The 17,558-nt window shown below is 41.1% G+C and overlaps 1 annotated feature.

Annotated features, from left to right (window-relative positions):
- Window positions 1-17,558: part of a centromere (Linear centromere model derived predominantly from reads generated in PMID: 17803354. This region does not represent an actual centromere sequence, as long-range ordering of repeats and unmapped WGS contigs is not provided by the model. For details of model production, see http://arxiv.org/abs/1307.0035.) that runs on past both edges of the window.

The raw sequence follows: 17,558 nt of genomic DNA on the forward strand, positions 1-17,558 counted from the left end.
AACGGGATAATTTCAGCTAAGTAAACAGAAGCAGTCTCAGAATCTTCTTGTGATGTTTGCATTCAAATCCCAGAATGAAACCTTCCTTTGAAAGTTCAGGTTGGAAACACTCTTTTTGCAGGATCTACAAGGGGATATTCGGACCACTCTGTGGACTTCGTTCGAAACGGGTATATCTTCACATAACATCTAGACAGAAGCATTCTCAGAAACTTTTCTGTGATGACTGCATTCAACTCACAGAGTTGAACACTCCTTTTGAGAGCGCAGTTTTGAAACTCTCTTTCTCTGGAATCTGCAAGGGGACATGCAGACCTCTTTGAAGGTTTCGTTGGAAACGGAATCATCTTCACATAAAAATTACACAGAAGCATCCTCAGGAACTCCTTGGTGATGTTTGTATTCAACTTCCAGAGTTGAACTTTCCTTCGGAAAGAGCAGCTATGAAACACTCTTTTTCTAGAATCTGCAAGTGGACCTTGGGAGGGCTGTGAGGTTTGTGGTGGAAAAGGAAAAATCTCCACATAAATACTAGATAGAAGCCTTCTCAGAAACTCCTTTGTGATGATTGCATTCACCTCACGGAGTGGAGCATTCCTATTGACAGAGCAGTTTGGAAACACTCTTGTTGTAGAATCGGCTAGTGGAGATTTGGAGCGCTTTGAGGCCTATGGTAGTAAAGGGAAGAGCTTCACATAAAATCTAGACAGAAGCATTCTCAGAAAATACTTTGTGATGATTGAGTTTAACACACAGAGCTGAACATTCCTTTGGATGGAGAAGGTTTGAAACACACTTTCTGTAGAATCTGCGAGTGGATATTTGGACCTCTCTGAGGATTTCGTTGGAAACGGGATAACTGCACCTAACTAAACGGAAGCATTCTCACAAAATTCTTTGTGATGTTTGCATTCAAATCCCAGAGTTGAACCTTCCTTTGATAGTTCAGCTTTGAAACACTCTTTTTGTAGGATCTGCAAGTGGATATTTGGACCACTCTTTGGCCTTCGTTCGAAACGGGTACATCTTCAAATAAAATCTAGACAGAAGCCTTCTCAGAAACTTCTCTGTGACGATTGCATTCAACAAAAAGAGTTGAACCGTAATACGGATAGAGCAGTTTTGAATCTCTCTTTTTGTGGAATCTGCAAGTGGATATGTGGTCCTCTTTGAAGATGTCTTTGGAAACGGGAATATCTTCACATAAAAACTAAACAGAAGCATTCTCAGAAACTTCTCTGTGATGTTTGTGTTCAACTCACAGAGTTTCACGTTGCTTTTCATAGAGCAGATGAGAAACATACTTTTCGTAGGGTCTGCAAGTGGACATTTGGAGAGATTTCAGGCCTGTGGTGGAAAACGAATTATCGTCACGTAAAAACTAGAGAGAAGCATTGTCAGAAACTTGTTTGTGATGACTGCATTCAACCCACAGAGTTGAAGGTTCCTTTTCAAACAGCAGTTTCCAAACACTCTTTCTGTGGCATCTGCAAGTGGATGTTTGGGCCTCTTTGAAGATTTCGTTGGAAACGGGATAATCTTCACAGAAAAGCTAAACAGAAGCATGCTCAGAAACTTCTTTGTGATGTTTGCTTTCAACTCACAGAGTTGAACTTTCCTTTTGAGAGAGAAGCTTTGAAACACTCTTTTTCTAGAATCTGCAAGTGGATATTTGGAGGGCATTGAGGCCTGAGGTGGAACAGGAATTATCTTCCCGTAAGAACTAGATAGATGCATTCTCAGAAACTTCTTTGTGACGATTGCATTCAAGTCACAGAGGTGAACATTCCCTTTCAGAGAGCACTTTGGAAACTCTCGCTGTGTAGAATCTGCAAGTGGAGATATGGACCGCTTTGAGGCCTATGGTAGTAAAGGAAACAGCTTCATATAAAAGCTAGACAGCAGCATTCTCAGAAAACTCTTTGTGACGACTGAGTTTAACTCACAGGGCTGAACATTCCTTTGGATGGAGCAGTTTGGAAACACACTATCTGTAGGATCTGCAAGCGGATACTTGGGCCTCCCTGAGGATTTCGTTGGAAACGGGATAAACCGCACAGAACTAAACAGAAGCATTCTCAGAACCTTCTTCGTGATGTTTGCATTCAACCCACAGTGTTGAACCTTTCTTTGATAGTTCAGGTTTGAAACACTCTTTTTGTAGAAACTGCAAGTGGATAACTGCACTTCTTTGAGGCCTATCTTAATAAAGGAAATAAATTCCTATAAAAACAAGACAGAAAGCTTTCTCAGAAAATTCTCTGGGATGATTGAGTTGAACTCACAGAGCAGTACTTTCCTTGGGATGGAGTAGTTTCGAAACACACTTTCTGTAGAATCTGCAAGTGGGTATTTGGACCTGTCTGAGGAATTCGTTGCAAACGGGATAATTTCAGCTAAGTAAACAGAAGCAGTCTCAGCAATCTTCTTGTGATGGTTGCATTCAAATCCCAGAATGGAACCTTCCTTTGAAAGTTCAGGTTGGAAACACTCTTTTTGCAGGATCTACAAGTGGATATTCGGACCACTCTGTGGACTTCGCTCGAAACGGGTATATCTTCACATAACATCTAGACAGAAGCATTCTCAGAAACTTTTCTGTGATGACTGCATTCAACTCACAGAGTTGAACACTCCTTTTGAGAGCGCAGTTTTGAAACTCTCTTTCTCTGGAATCTGCAAGGGGACATGCAGACCTCTTTGAAGGTTTCGTTGGAAACGGGAATCATCTTCACATAAAAATTACACAGAAGCATCCTCAGGAACTCCTTGGTGATGTTTGCATTCAACTTCCAGAGTTGAACTTTCCTTCGGAAAGAGCAGCTATGAAACACTCTTTTTCTAGAATCTGCAAGTGGACATTGGGAGGGCTGTGAGGTTTGTGGTGGAAAAGGAAATATCTCCACATAAATACTAGATAGAAGCCTTCTCAGAAACTACTTTGTGATGATTGCATTCACCTCACAGAGTGGAGCATTCCTATTGACAGAGCAGTTTGGAAACACTCTTGTTGTAGAATCTGCTAGTGGAGATTTGGAGCGCTTTGAGGCCTATGGTAGTAAAGGGAAGAGCTTCACATAAAATCAAGACAGAAGCATTCTCAGAAAATACTTTGTGATGATTGAGTTTAACACACAGAGCTGAACATTCCTTTGGATGGAGCAGGTTTGAAACACACTTTCTATAGAATCTGCGAGTGGATATTTGGACCTCTCTGAGGATTTCGTTGGAAACGGGATAACTGCACCTAACTAAACGGAAGCATTCTCACAAAATTCTTTGTGATGTTTGCATTCAAATCCCAGAGTTGAACCTTCCTTTGATAGTTCAGCTTTGAAACACTCTTTTTGTAGGCTCTGCAGGTGGATATTTGGACCACTCTTTGGCCTTCGTTCAAAACGGGTACATCTTCAAATAAAATCTAGACAGAAGCCTTCTCAGAAACTTCTCTGTGACGATTGCATTCAACTCCAAGCGTTGAACCCTCCTATGGATAGAGCAGTTTTGAATCTCTCTTTTTGTGGAATCTGCAAGTGGATATGTGGTCCTCTTTGAAGATGTCTTTGGAAACGGGAATATCTTCACATAAAAACTAAACAGAAGCATTCTCAGAAACTTCTCTGTGATGTTTGTGTTCAACTCACAGAGTTTCACGTTGCTTTTCATAGAGCAGATGAGAAACATGCTTTTCGTAGGGTCTGCAAGTGGACATTTGGAGAGATTTCAGGCCTGTGGTGGAAAACGAATTATCGTCACGTAAAAACTAGAGAGAAGCATTGTCAGAAACTTGTTTGTGATGACTGCATTCAACTCACAGAGTTGAAGGTTCCTTTTCATACAGCAGTTTCCACACACTCTTTCTGTGGCATCTGCAAGTGGATGTTTGGGCCTCTTTGAAGATTTCGTTGGAAACGGGATAATCTTCACAGAAAAGCTAAACAGAAGCATTCTCAGAAACTTCTTTGTGATGTTTGCTTTCAACTCACAGAGTTGAACTTTCCTTTTGAGAGAGAAGCTTTGAAACACTCTTTTTCTAGAATCTGCAAGTGGATATTTGGAGGGCTTTGAGGCCTGAGGTGGAAAAGGAATTATCTTCCCGTAAGAACTAGATAGATGCATTCTCAGAAACTACTTTGTGACGATTGCATTCAAGTCACAGAGGTGAACATTCCCTTTCAGAGAGCACTTTGGAAACTCTCATTGTGTAGAATCTGCAAGTGGAGATATGGACCGCTTTGAGGCCTATGGTAGTAAAGGAAACAGCTTCATATAAAAACTAGACAGCAGCATTCTCAGAAAACTCTTTGTGACGACTGAGTTTAACTCACAGGGCTGAACATTCCTTTGGATGGAGCAGTTTGGAAACACACTATCTGTAGGATCTGCAAGCGGATACTTGGGCCTCTCTGAGGATTTCGTTGGAAACGGAATAAACCGCACAGAACTAAACAGAAGCATTCTCAGAACCTTCTTCGTGATGTTTGCATTCAACCCACAGTGTTGAACCTTTCTTTGATAGTTCAGGTTTGAAACACTCTTTTTGTAGAAACTGCAAGTGGATAACTGCACTTCTTTGAGGCCTATCGTAGTAAAGGAAATAACTTCCTATAAAAACAAGACAGAAGCTTTCTCAGAAAATTCTCTGGGATGATTGAGTTGAACTCACAGAGCAGTACTTTCCTTGGGATGGAGTAGTTTCGAAACACACTTTCTGTAGAATCTGCAAGTGGATATTTGGACCTGTCTGAGGAATTCGGTGCAAACGGGATAATTTCAGCTAAGTAAACAGAAGCAGTCTCAGAATCTTCTTGTGATGTTTGCATTCAAATCCCAGAATTGAACCATCCTTTGAAAGTGCAGGTTTGAAACACTCTTTTTGCAGGGTCTACAAGTGGATATTCGGACCACTCTGTGGACTTCGTTCGAAACGGGTATATCTTCACATAACATCTAGACAGAAGCATTCTCAGAAACTTTTCTGTGATGACTGCATTCAACTCACAGAGTGGAACACTCCTTTTGAGAGCGCAGTTTAGAAACTCTCTTTCTCTGGAATCTGCAAGGGGACATGCAGACCTCTTTGAAGGTTTCGTTGGAAACGGAATCATCTTCACATAAAAATTACACAGAAGCATCCTCAGGAACTCCTTGGTGATGTTTGTATTCAACTTCCAGAGTTGAACTTTCCTTCGGAAAGAGCAGCTATGAAACACTCTTTTTCTAGAATCTGCAAGTGGACATTGGGAGGGCTGTGAGGTTTGTGGTGGAAAAGGAAATATCTCCACATAAATACTAGATAGAAGCCTTCTCAGAAACTACTTTGTGATGATTGCATTCACCTCACGGAGTGGAGCACTCCTATTGACAGAGCAGTTTGGAAACACTCTTCTTGTAGAATCGGCTAGTGGAGATTTGGAGCGCTTTGAGTCCTATGGTAGTAAAGGGAAGAGCTTCACATAAAATCTAGACAGAAGCATTCTCAGAAAATACTTTGTGATGATTGAGTTTAACACACAGAGCTGAACATTCCTTTGGATGGAGAAGGTTTGAAACACACTTTCTGTAGAATCTGCGAGTGGATATTTGGACCTCTCTGAGGATTTCGTTGGAAACGGGATAACTGCACCTAACTAAACGGAAGCATTCTCACAAAATTCTTTGTGATGTTTGCATTCAAATCCCAGAGTTGAAACTTCCTTTGATAGTTCAGCTTTGAAACACTCTTTTTGTAGGTTCTGCAAGTGGATATTTGGACCAGTCTTTGGCCTTCCTTCGAAACGGGTACATCTTCAAATAAAATCTAGACAGAAGCCTTCTCAGAAACTTCTCTGTGATGATTGCATTCAACTCATAGCGTTGAACCTTCCTATGGATAGAGCAGTTTTGAATCTCTCTTTTTGTGGAATCTGCAAGTGGTTGTGTGGTCCTCTTTGAAGATGTCTTTGGAAACGGGAATATCTTCACATAAAAACTAAACAGAAGCATTCTCAGAAACTTCTCTGTGATGTTTGTGTTCAACTCACAGAGTTTCACGTTGCTTTTCATAGAGCAGATGAGAAACATGCTTTTCGTAGGGTCTGCAAGTGGACATTTGGAGAGATTTCAGGCCTGTGGTGGAAAACGAATTATCGTCACGTAAAAACTAGAGAGAAGCATTGTCAGAAACCTGTTTTTGATGACTGCATTCAACTCACAGAGTTGAAGGTTCCTTTTCAAACAGCAGTTTCCAAACACTCTTTCTGTGGCATCTGCAAGTGGATGTTTGGGCCTCTTTGAAGATTTCATTGGAAACGGGATAATCTTCACAGAAAAGCTAAACAGAAGCATTCTCAGAAACTTCTTTGTGATGTTTGCTTTCAACTCACAGAGTTGAACTTTCCTTTTGAGAGAGAAGCTTTGAAACACTCTTTTTCTAGAATCTGCAAGTGGATATTTGGAGGGCTTTGAGGCCTGAGGTGGAAAAGGAATTATCTTCCCGTAAGAACTAGATAGATGCATTCTCAGAAACTACTTTGTGACGATTGCATTCAAGTCACAGAAGTGAACATTCCCTTTCAGAGAGCACTTTGGAAACTCTCGTTGTGTAGAATCTGCAAGTGGAGATATGGACCGCTTTGAGGCCTATGGTAGTAAAGGAAACAGCTTCATATAAAAACTAGACAGCAGCATTCTCAGAAAACTCTTTGTGACGACTGAGTTTAACTCACAGGGCTGAACATTCCTTTGGATGGAGCAGTTTGGAAACACACTATCTGTAGGATCTGCAAGCGGATACTTGGGCCTCCCTGAGGATTTCGTTGGAAACGGGATACACCGCACAGAACTAAACAGAAGCATTCTCAGAACCTTCTTCGTGATGTTTGCATTCAACCCACAGTGTTGAACCTTTCTTTGATAGTTCAGGTTTGAAACACTCTTTTTGTAGAAACTGCAAGTGGATAACTGCACTTCTTTGAGGCCTATCGTAGTAAAGGAAATAACTTCCTATAAAAACAAGACAGAAGCTTTCTCAGAAAATTCTCTGGGATGATTGAGTTGAACTCACAGAGCAGTACTTTCCTTGGGATGGAGTATTTTCGAAACACACTTTCTGTAGAATCTGCAAGTGGGTATTTGGACCTGTCTGAGGAATTCGTTGCAAACGGGATAATTTCAGCAAAGTAAACAGAAGCAGTCTCAGAATCTTCTTGTGATGTTTGCATTCAAATCCCAGAATTGAACCTTCCTTTGAAAGTTCAGGTTTGAAACACTCTTTTTGCAGGATCTACAAGTGGATATTCGGACCACTCTGTGGACTTCGTTCGAAACGGGTATATCTTCACATAACATCTACACAGAAGCATTCTCAGAAACTTTTCTGTGATGACTGCATTCAACTCACAGAGTTGAACACTCCTTTTGAGAGCGCAGTTTTGAAACTCTCTTTCTCTGGAATCTGCAAGGGGACATGCAGACCTCTTTGAAGGTTTCGTTGGAAACGGAATCATCTTCACATAAAAATTACACAGAAGCATTCTCAGGAACTCCTTGGTGATGTTTGTATTCAACTTCCAGAGTTGAACTTTCCTTCGGAAAGAGCAGCTATGAAACACTCTTTTTCTAGAATCTGCAAGTGGACATTGGGAGAGCTGTGAGGTTTGTGGTGGAAAAGGAAATATCTCCACATAAATACTAGATAGAAGCCTTCTCAGAAACTACTTTGTGATGATCGCATTCACCTCACGGAGTGGAGCATTCCTATTGACAGAGCAGTTTGGAAACACTCTTCTTGTAGAATCGGCTAGTGGAGATTTGGAGCGCTTTGAGGCCTATGGTAGTAAAGGGAAGAGCTTCACATAAAATCTAGACAGAAGCATTCTGAGAAAATACTTTGTGATGATTGAGTTTAACACACAGAGCTGAACATTCCTTTGGATGGAGAAGGTTTGAAACACACTTTCTGTAGAATCTGCGAGTGGATATTTGGACCTCTCTGAGGATTTCGTTGGAAACGGGATAACTGCACCTAACTAAACGGAAGCATTCTCACAAAATTCTTTGTGATGTTTGCATTCAAATCCCAGAGTTGAACCTTCCTTTGATAGTTCAGCTTTGAAACACCCTTTTTGTAGGATCTGCAAGTGGATAGTTGGACCACTCTTTGGCCTTCGTTCGAAAAGGGTACATCTTCAAATAAAATCTAGACAGAAGCCTTCTCAGAAACTTCTCTGTGATGATTGCATTCAACTCAAAGCGTTGAAGCCTCCTATGGATAGAGCAGTTTTGAATCTCTCTTTTTGTGGAATCTGCAAGTGGTTGTGTGGTCCTCTTTGAAGATGTCTTTGGAAACGGGAATATCTTCACATAAAAACTAAACAGAAGCATTCTCAGAAACTTCTCTGTGATGTTTGTGTTCAACTCACAGAGTTTCACGTTGCTTTTCATAGAGCAGATGAGAAACATGCTTTTCGTAGGGTCTGCAAGTGGACATTTGGAGAGATTTCAGGCCTGTGGTGGAAAACGAATTATCGTCACGTAAAAACTAGAGGGAAGCATTGTCAGAAACTTGTTTGTGATGACTGCATTCAACTCACAGAGTTGAAGGTTCCTTTTCAAACAGCAGTTTCCAAACACTCTTTCTGTGGCATCTGCAAGTGGGTGTTTGGGCCTCTTTGAAGATTTCGTTGGAAACGGGATAATCTTCACAGAAAAGCTAAACAGAAGCATGCTCAGAAACTTCTTTGTGATGTTTGCTTTCAACTCACAGAGTTGAACTTTCCTTTTGAGAGAGAAGCTTTGAAACACTCTTTTTCTAGAATCTGCAAGTGGATATTTGGAGGGCATTGAGGCCTGAGGTGGAACAGGAATTATCTTCCCGTAAGAACTAGATAGATGCATTCTCAGAAACTACATTGTGACGATTGCATTCAAGTCACAGAGGTGAACATTCCCTTTCAGAGAGCACTTTGGAAACTCTCGTTGTGTAGAATCTGCAAGTGGAGATATGGACCGCTTTGAGGCCTATGGTAGTAAAGGAAACAGCTTCATATAAAAACTAGACAGCAGCATTCTCAGAAAACTCTTTCTGACGACTGAGTTTAACTCACAGGGCTGAACATTCCTTTGGATGGAGCAGTTTGGAAACACACTATCTGTAGGATCTGCAAGCGGATACTTGGGCCTCTCTGAGGATTTCGTTGGAAACGGGATAAACCGCACAGAACTAAACAGAAGCATTCTCAGAACCTTCTTCGTGATGTTTGCATTCAACCCACAGTGTTGAACCTTTCTTTGATAGTTCAGGTTTGAAACACTCTTTTTGTAGAAACTGCAAGTGGATAACTGCACTTCTTTGAGGCCTATCGTAGTAAAGGAAATAACTTCCTATAAAAACAAGACAGAAGCTTTCTCAGAAAATTCTCTGGGATGATTGAGTTGAACTCACAGAGCAGTACTTTCTTTGGGATGGAGTAGTTTCGAAACACACTTTCTGTAGAATCTGCAAGTGGGTATTTGGACCTGTCTGAGGAATTCGTTGCAAACGGGATAATTTCAGCTAAGTAAACAGAAGCAGTCTCAGAATCTTCTTGTGATGTTTGCATTCAAATCCCAGAATTGAACCTTCCTTTGAAAGTTCAGGTTGGAAACACTCTTTTTGCAGGATCTACAAGTGGATATTCGGACCACTCTGTGGACTTCGTTCGAAACGGGTATATCTTCACATAACATCTAGACAGAAGCATTCTCAGAAACTTTTCTGTGATGACTGCATTCAACTCACAGAGTTGAACACTCCTTTTGAGAGCGCAGTTTTGAAACTCTCTTTCTCTGGAATCTGCAAGGGGACATGCAGACCTCTTTGAAGGTTTCATTGGAAACGGAATCATCTTCACATAAAAATTACACAGAAGCATCCTCAGGAACTCCTTGGTGATGTTTGTATTCAACTTCCAGAGTTGAACTTTCCTTCGGAAAGAGCAGCTATGAAACACTCTTTTTCTAGAATCTGCAGGTGGACATTTGGAGGGCTGTGAGGTTTGTGGTGGAAAAGGAAATATCTCCACATAAATACTAGATAGAAGCCTTCTCAGAAACTACTTTGTGATGATTGCATTCACCTCACGGAGTGGAGCATTCCTATTGACAGAGCAGTTTGGAAACACTCTTGTTGTAGAATCGGCTAGTGGAGATTTGGAGCGCTTTGAGGCCTATGGTAGTAAAGGGAAGAGCTTCACATAAAATCTAGACAGAAGCATTCTCAGAAAATACTTTGTGATGATTGAGTTTAACACACAGAGCTGAACATTCCTTTGGATGGAGAAGGTTTGAAACACACTTTCTGTAGAATCTGTGAGTGGATATTTGGACCTCTCTGAGGATTTCGTTGGAAACGGGATAACTGCACCTAACTAAACGGAAGCGTTCTCACAAAATTCTTTGTGATGTTTGCATTCAAATCCCAGAGTTGAACCTTCCTTTGATAGTTCAGCTTTGAAACACTCTTTTTGTAGGATCTGCAGGTGGATATTTGGACCACTCTTTGGCCTTCGTTCGAAACGGGTACATCTTCAAATAAAATCTAGACAGAAGCCTTCTCAGAAACTTCTCTGTGACGATTGCATTCAACTCAAAGCGTTGAACCCTCCTATGGATAGAGCAGTTTTGAATCTCTCTTTTTGTGGAATCTGCAAGTGGATATGTGGTCCTCTTTGAAGATGTCTTTGGAAACGGGAATATCTTCACATAAAAACTAAACAGAAGCATTCTCAGAAACTTCTCTGTGATGTTTGTGTTCAACTCACAGAGCTTCACGTTGCTTTTCATAGAGCAGATGAGAAACATGCTTTTCATAGGGTCTGCAAGTGGACATTTGGAGAGCTTTCAGGCCTGTGGTGGAAAACGAATTATCGTCACGTAAAAACTAGAGAGAAGCATTGTCAGAAACTTGTTTGTGATGACTGCATTCAACACACAGAGTTGAAGGTTCCTTTTCAAACAGCAGTTTCCAAACACTCTTTCTGTGGCATCTGCAAGTGGAGGTTTGGGCCTCTTTGAAGATTTCGTTGGAAACGGGATAATCTTCACAGAAAAGCTAAACAGAAGCATGCTCAGAAACTTCTTTGTGATGTTTGCTTTCAACTCACAGAGTTGAACTTTCCTTTTGAGAGAGAAGCTTTGAAACACTCTTTTTCGAGAATCTGCAAGTGGATATTTGGAGGGCTTTGAGGCCTGAGGTGGAACAGGAATTATCTTCCCGTAAGAACTAGATAGATGCATTCTCAGAAACTACTTTGTGACGATTGCATTCAAGTCACAGAGGTGAACATTCCCTTTCAGAGAGCACTTTGGAAACTCTCGTTGTGTAGAATCTGCAAGTGGAGATATGGACCGCTTTGAGGCCTATGGTAGTAAAGGAAACAGCTTCATTTAAAAATTAGACAGCAGCATTCTCAGAAAACTCTTTGTGACGACTGAGTTTAACTCACAGGGCTGAACATTCCTTTGGATGGAGCAGTTTGGAAACACACTATCTGTAGGATCTGCAAGCGGATACTTGGGCCTCCCTGAGGATTTCGTTGGAAACGGGATAAACCGCACAGAACTAAACAGAAGCATTCTCAGAACCTTCTTCGTGATGTTTGCATTCAACCCACAGTGTTGAACCTTTCTTTGATAGTTCAGGTTTGAAACACTCTTTTTGTAGAAACTGCAAGTGGATAACTGCACTTCTTTGAGGCCTATCGTAGTAAAGGAAATAACTTCCTATTAAAACAAGACAGAAGCTTTCTCAGAAAATTCTCTGGGATGATTGAGTTGAACTCAGAGAGCAGTACTTTCCTTGGGATGGAGTAGTTTCGAAACACACTTTCTGTAGAATCTGCAAGTGGATATTTGGACCTGTCTGAGGAATTCGTTGCAAACGGGATAATTTCAGCTAAGTAAACAGAAGCAGTCTCAGAATCTTCTTGTGATGGTTGCATTCAAATCCCAGAATTGAACCTTCCTTTGAAAGTTCAGGTTGGAAACACTCTTTTTGCAGGATCTACAAGTGGATATTCGGACCACTCTGTGGACTTCGTTCGAAACGGGTATATCTTCACATAACATCTAGACAGAAAGCATTCTCAGAAACTTTTCTGTGATGACTGCATTCAACTCACAGAGTTGAACACTCCTTTTGAGAGCGCAGTTTTGAAACTCTCTTTCTCTGGAATCTGCAAGGGGACATGCAGACCTCTTTGAAGGTTTCGTTGGAAACGGAATCATCTTCACATAAAAATTACACAGAAGCATCCTCAGGAACTCCTTGGTGATGTTTGTATTCAACTTCCAGAGTTGAACTTTCCTTCGGAAAGAGCAGCTATGAAACACTCTTTTTCTAGAATCTGCAAGTGGACCTTGGGAGGGCTGTGAGGTTTGTGGTGGAAAAGGAAAAATCTCCACATAAATACTAGATAGAAGCCTTCTCAGAAACTACTTTGTGATGATTGCATTCACCTCACGGAGTGGAGCATTCCTATTGACAGAGCAGTTTGGAAACACTCTTGTTGTAGAATCTCCTAGTGGAGATTTGGAGCGCTTTGAGGCCTATGGTAGTAAAGGGAAGAGCTTCACATAAAATCTAGACAGAAGCATTCTCAGAAAATACTTTGTGATGATTGAGTTTAACACACAGAGCTGAACATTCCTTTGGATGGAGAAGGTTTGAAACACACTTTCTGTAGAATCTGCGAGTGGATATTTGGACCTCTCTGAGGATTTCGTTGGAAACGGGATAACTGCACCTAACTAAACGGAAGCATTCTCACAAAATTCTTTGTGATGTTTGCATTCAAATCCCAGAGTTGAACCTTCCTTTGATAGTTCAGCTTTGAAACACTCTTTTTGTAGGATCTGCAGGGGGATATTTGGACCACGCTTTGGCCTTCGTTCGAAACGGGTACATCTTCAAATAAAATCTAGACAGAAGCCTTCTCAGAAACTTCTCTGTGACGATTGCATTCAACTCAAAGCGTTGAACCCTCCCTATGGATAGAGCAGTTTTGAATCTCTCTTTTTGTGGAATCTGCAAGTGGATATGTGGTCCTCTTTGAAGATGTCTTTGGAAACGGGAATATCTTCACATAAAAACTAAACAGAAGCATTCTCAGAAACTTCTCTGTGATGTTTGTGTTCAACTCACAGAGTTTCACGTTGCTTTTCATAGAGCAGATGAGAAACATGCTTTTCGTAGGGTCTGCAAGTGGACATTTGGAGAGATTTCAGGCCAGTGGTGGAAAACGAATTATCGTCACGTAAAAACTAGAGAGAAAGCATTGTCAGAAACTTGTTTGTGATGACTGCATTCAACTCACAGAGTTGCAGGTTCCTTTTCAAACAGTAGTTTCCAAACACTCTTTCTGTGGCATCTGCAAGTGGATGTTTGGGCCTCTTTGAAGATTTCGTTGGAAACGGGATAATCTTCACAGAAAAGCTAAACAGAAGCATTCTCAGAAACTTCTTTGTGATGTTTGCTTTCAACTCACAGAGTTGAACTTTCCTTTTGAGAGAGAAGCTTTGAAACACTCTTTTTCTAGAATCTGCAAGTGGATATTTGGAGGGCTTTGAGGCCTGTGGTGGAAAAGGAATTATCTTCCCGTAAGAACTAGATAGATGCATTCTCAGAAACTACTTTGTGACGATTGCATTCAAGTCACAGAGGTGAACATTCCCTTTCAGAGAGCACTTTGGAAACTCTCGTTGTGTAGAATCTGCAAGTGGAGATATGGACTGCTTTGAGGCCTACGGTAGTAAAGGAAACAGCTTCATATAAAAACTAGACAGCAGCATTCTCAGAAAACTCTTTGTGACGACTGAGTTTAACTCACAGGGCTGAACATTCCTTTGGATGGAGCAGTTTGGAAACACACTATCTGTAGGATCTGCAAGCGGATACTTGGGCCTCCCTGAGGATTTCGTTGGAAACGGGATAAACTGCACAGAACTAAACAGAAGCATTCTCAGAACCTTCTTCGTGATGTTTGCATTCAACCCACAGTGTTGAACCTTTCTTTGATAGTTCAGGTTTGAAACACTCTTTTTGTAGAAACTGCAAGTGGATAACTGCACTTCTTTGAGGCCTATCGTAGTAAAGGAAATAACTTCCTATAAAAACAAGACAGAAGCTTTCTCAGAAAATTCTCTGGGATGATTGAGTTGAACTCACAGAGCAGTACTTTCCTTGGGATGGAGTAGTTTCGAAACACACTTTCTGTAGAATCTGCAAGTGGATATTTGGACCTGTCTGAGGAATTCGTTGCAAACGGGATAATTTCAGCTAAGTAAACAGAAGCAGTCCCAGAATCTTCTTGTGATGTTTGCATTCAAATCCCAGAATTGAACCTTCCTTTGAAAGTTCAGGTTGGAAACACTCTTTTTGCAGGATCTACAAGTGGATATTCGGACCACTCTGTGGACTTCGTTCGAAACGGGTATATCTTCACATAACATCTAGACAGAAGCATTCTCAGAAACTTTTCTGTGATGACTGCATTCAACTCACAGAGTTGAACACTCCTTTTGAGAGCGCAGTTTTGAAACTCTCTTTCTCTGGAATCTGCAAGGGGACATGCAGACCTCTTTGAAGGTTTCGTTGGAAACGGAATCATCTTCACATAAAAATTACACGGAAGCATCCTCAGGAACTCCTTGGTGATGTTTGTATTCAACTTCCAGAGTTGAACTTTCCTTCGGAAAGAGCAGCTATGAAACACTCTTTTTCTAGAATCTGCAAGTGGACATTGGGAGGGCTGTGAGGTTTGTGGTGGAAAAGGAAATATCTCCACATAAATACTAGATAGAAGCCTTCTCAGAAACTACTTTGTGATGATTGCATTCACCTCACGGAGTGGAGCATTCCTATTGACAGAGCAGTTTGGAAACACTCTTCTTGTAGAATCGGCTAGTGGAGATTTGGAGCGCTTTGAGTCCTATGGTAGTAAAGGGAAGAGCTTCACATAAAATCTACACAGAAGCATTCTCAGAAAATACTTTGTGATGATTGAGTTTAACACACAGAGCTGAACATTCCTTTGGATGGAGAAGGTTTGAAACACACTTTCTGTAGAATCTGCGAGTGGATATTTGGACCTCTCTGAGGATTTCGTTGGAAACGGGATAACTGCACCTAACTAAACGGAAGCATTCTCACAAAATTCTTTGTGATGTTTGCATTCAAATCCCAGAGTTGAACCTTCCTTTGATAGTTCAGCTTTGAAACACTCTTTTTGTAGGTTCTGCAGGTGGATATTTGGACCACTCTTTGGCCTTCGTTCGAAACGGGTACATCTTCAAATAAAATCTAGACAGAAGCCTTCTCAGAAACTTCTCTGTGACGATTGCATTCAACTCAAAGCGTTGAACCCTCCTATGGATAGAGCGGTTTTGAATCTCTCTTTTTGTGGAATCTGCAAGTGGATATGTGGTCCTCTTTGAAGATGTCTTTGGAAACGGGAATATCTTCACATAAAAACTAAACAGAAGCATTCTCAGAAACTTCTCTGTGATGTTTGTGTTCAACTCACAGAGTTTCACGTTGCTTTTCATAGAGCAGATGAGAAACATGCTTTTCGTAGGGTCTGCAAGTGGACATTTGGAGAGCTTTCAGGCCTGTGGTGGAAAACGAATTATCGTCACGTAAAAACTAGAGAGAAGCATTGTCAGAAACTTGTTTGTGATGACTGCCTTCAACTCACAGAGTTGAAGGTTCCTTTTCAAACAGCAGTTTCCAAACACTCTTTCTGTGGCATCTGCAAGTGGAGGTTTGGGCCTCTTTGAAGATTTCGTTGGAAACGGGATAATCTTCACAGAAAAGCTAAACAGAAGCTTTCTGAGAAACTTTTTGTGATGTATGCATTCATCACAGAGATTTGAACATTTATTTTCATGGAGCAGTTTGGAAACAGTCTTTTTGCAGAATCTGCAAAGGGAAATATGTAGGCAGTTTGAGGCCTATGGTGGAAAAGGAAATATCTTCATATAAGAACTACACAGATGCATTCTCAGAAACTACTTTGTGACGATTGCATTCAAGTCACAGAGGTGAACATTCCCTTTCAGAGAGCACTTTGGAAACTCTCGTTGTGTAGAATCTGCAAGTGGAGATATGGACCGCTTTGAGGCCGATGGTAGTAAAGGAAACAGCTTCATATAAAAACTAGACAGCAGCATTCTCAGAAAACTCTTTGTGACGACTGAGATTAACTCACAGGGCTGAACATTCCTTTGGATGGAGCAGTTTGGAAACACACTATCTGTAGGATCTGCAAGCGGATACTTGGGCCTCTCTGAGGATTGCGTTGGAAACGGGATAAACCGCACAGAACTAAACAGAAGCATTCTCAGAACCTTCTTCGTGATGTTTGCATTCAACCCACAGTGTTGAACCTTTCTTTGATAGTTCAGGTTTGAAACACTCTTTTTGTAGAAACTGCAAGTGGATAACTGCACTTCTTTGAGGCCTATCGTAGTAAAGGAAATAACTTCCTATAAAAACAAGACAGAAGCTTTCTCAGAAAATTCTCTGGGATGATTGACCTGAACTCACAGAGCAGTACTTTCCTTGGGATGGAGTAGTTTCGAAACACACTTTCTGTAGAATCTGCAAGTGGATATTTGGACCTGTCTGAGGAATTCGTTGCAAACGGGATAATTTCAGCTAAGTAAACAGAAGCAGTCTCAGAATCTTCTTGTGATGTTTGCATTCAAATCCCAGAATTGAACCTTCCTTTGAAAGTTCAGGTTGGAAACACTCTTTTTGCAGGATCTACAAGTGGATATTCGGACCACTCTGTGGACTTCGTTCGAAACGGGTATATCTTCACATAACATCTAGACAGAAGCATTCTCAGAAACTTTTCTGTGATGACTGCATTCAACTCACAGAGTTGAACACTCCTTTTGAGAGCGCAGTTTTGAAACTCTCTTTCTCTGGAATCTGCAAGGGGACATGCAGACCTCTTTGAAGGTTTCGTTGGAAACGGAATCATCTTCACATAAAAATTACACAGAAGCATTCTCAGGAACTCCTTGGTGATGTTTGTATTCAACTTCCAGAGTTGAACTTTCCTTCGGAAAGAGCAGCTATGAAACACTCTTTTTCTAGAATCTGCAAGTGGACATTGGGAGGGCTGTGAGGTTTGTGGTGGAAAAGGAAATATCTCCACGTAACTACTAGATAGAAGCCTTCTCAGAAACTACTTTGTGATGATTGCATTCACCTCACGGAGTGGAGCATTCCTATTGACAGAGCAGTTTGGAAACACTCTTCTTGTAGAATCGGCTAGTGGAGATTTGGAGCGCTTTGAGGCCTATGGTAGTAAAGGGAAGAGCTTCACATAAAATCTAGACAGAAGCATTCTCAGAAAATACTTTGTGATGATTGAGTTTAGCACACAGAGCTGAACATTCCTTTGGATGGAGAAGGTTTGAAACACACTTTCTGTAGAATCTGCGAGTGGATATTTGGACCTCTCTGAGGATTTCGTTGGAAACGGGATAACTGCACCTAACTAAACGGAAGCATTCTCACAAAATTCTTT

Source organism: Homo sapiens, chromosome 17, assembly GCF_000001405.40.
Source record: "Homo sapiens chromosome 17, GRCh38.p14 Primary Assembly".
NCBI lineage: Eukaryota > Metazoa > Chordata > Mammalia > Primates > Hominidae > Homo > Homo sapiens.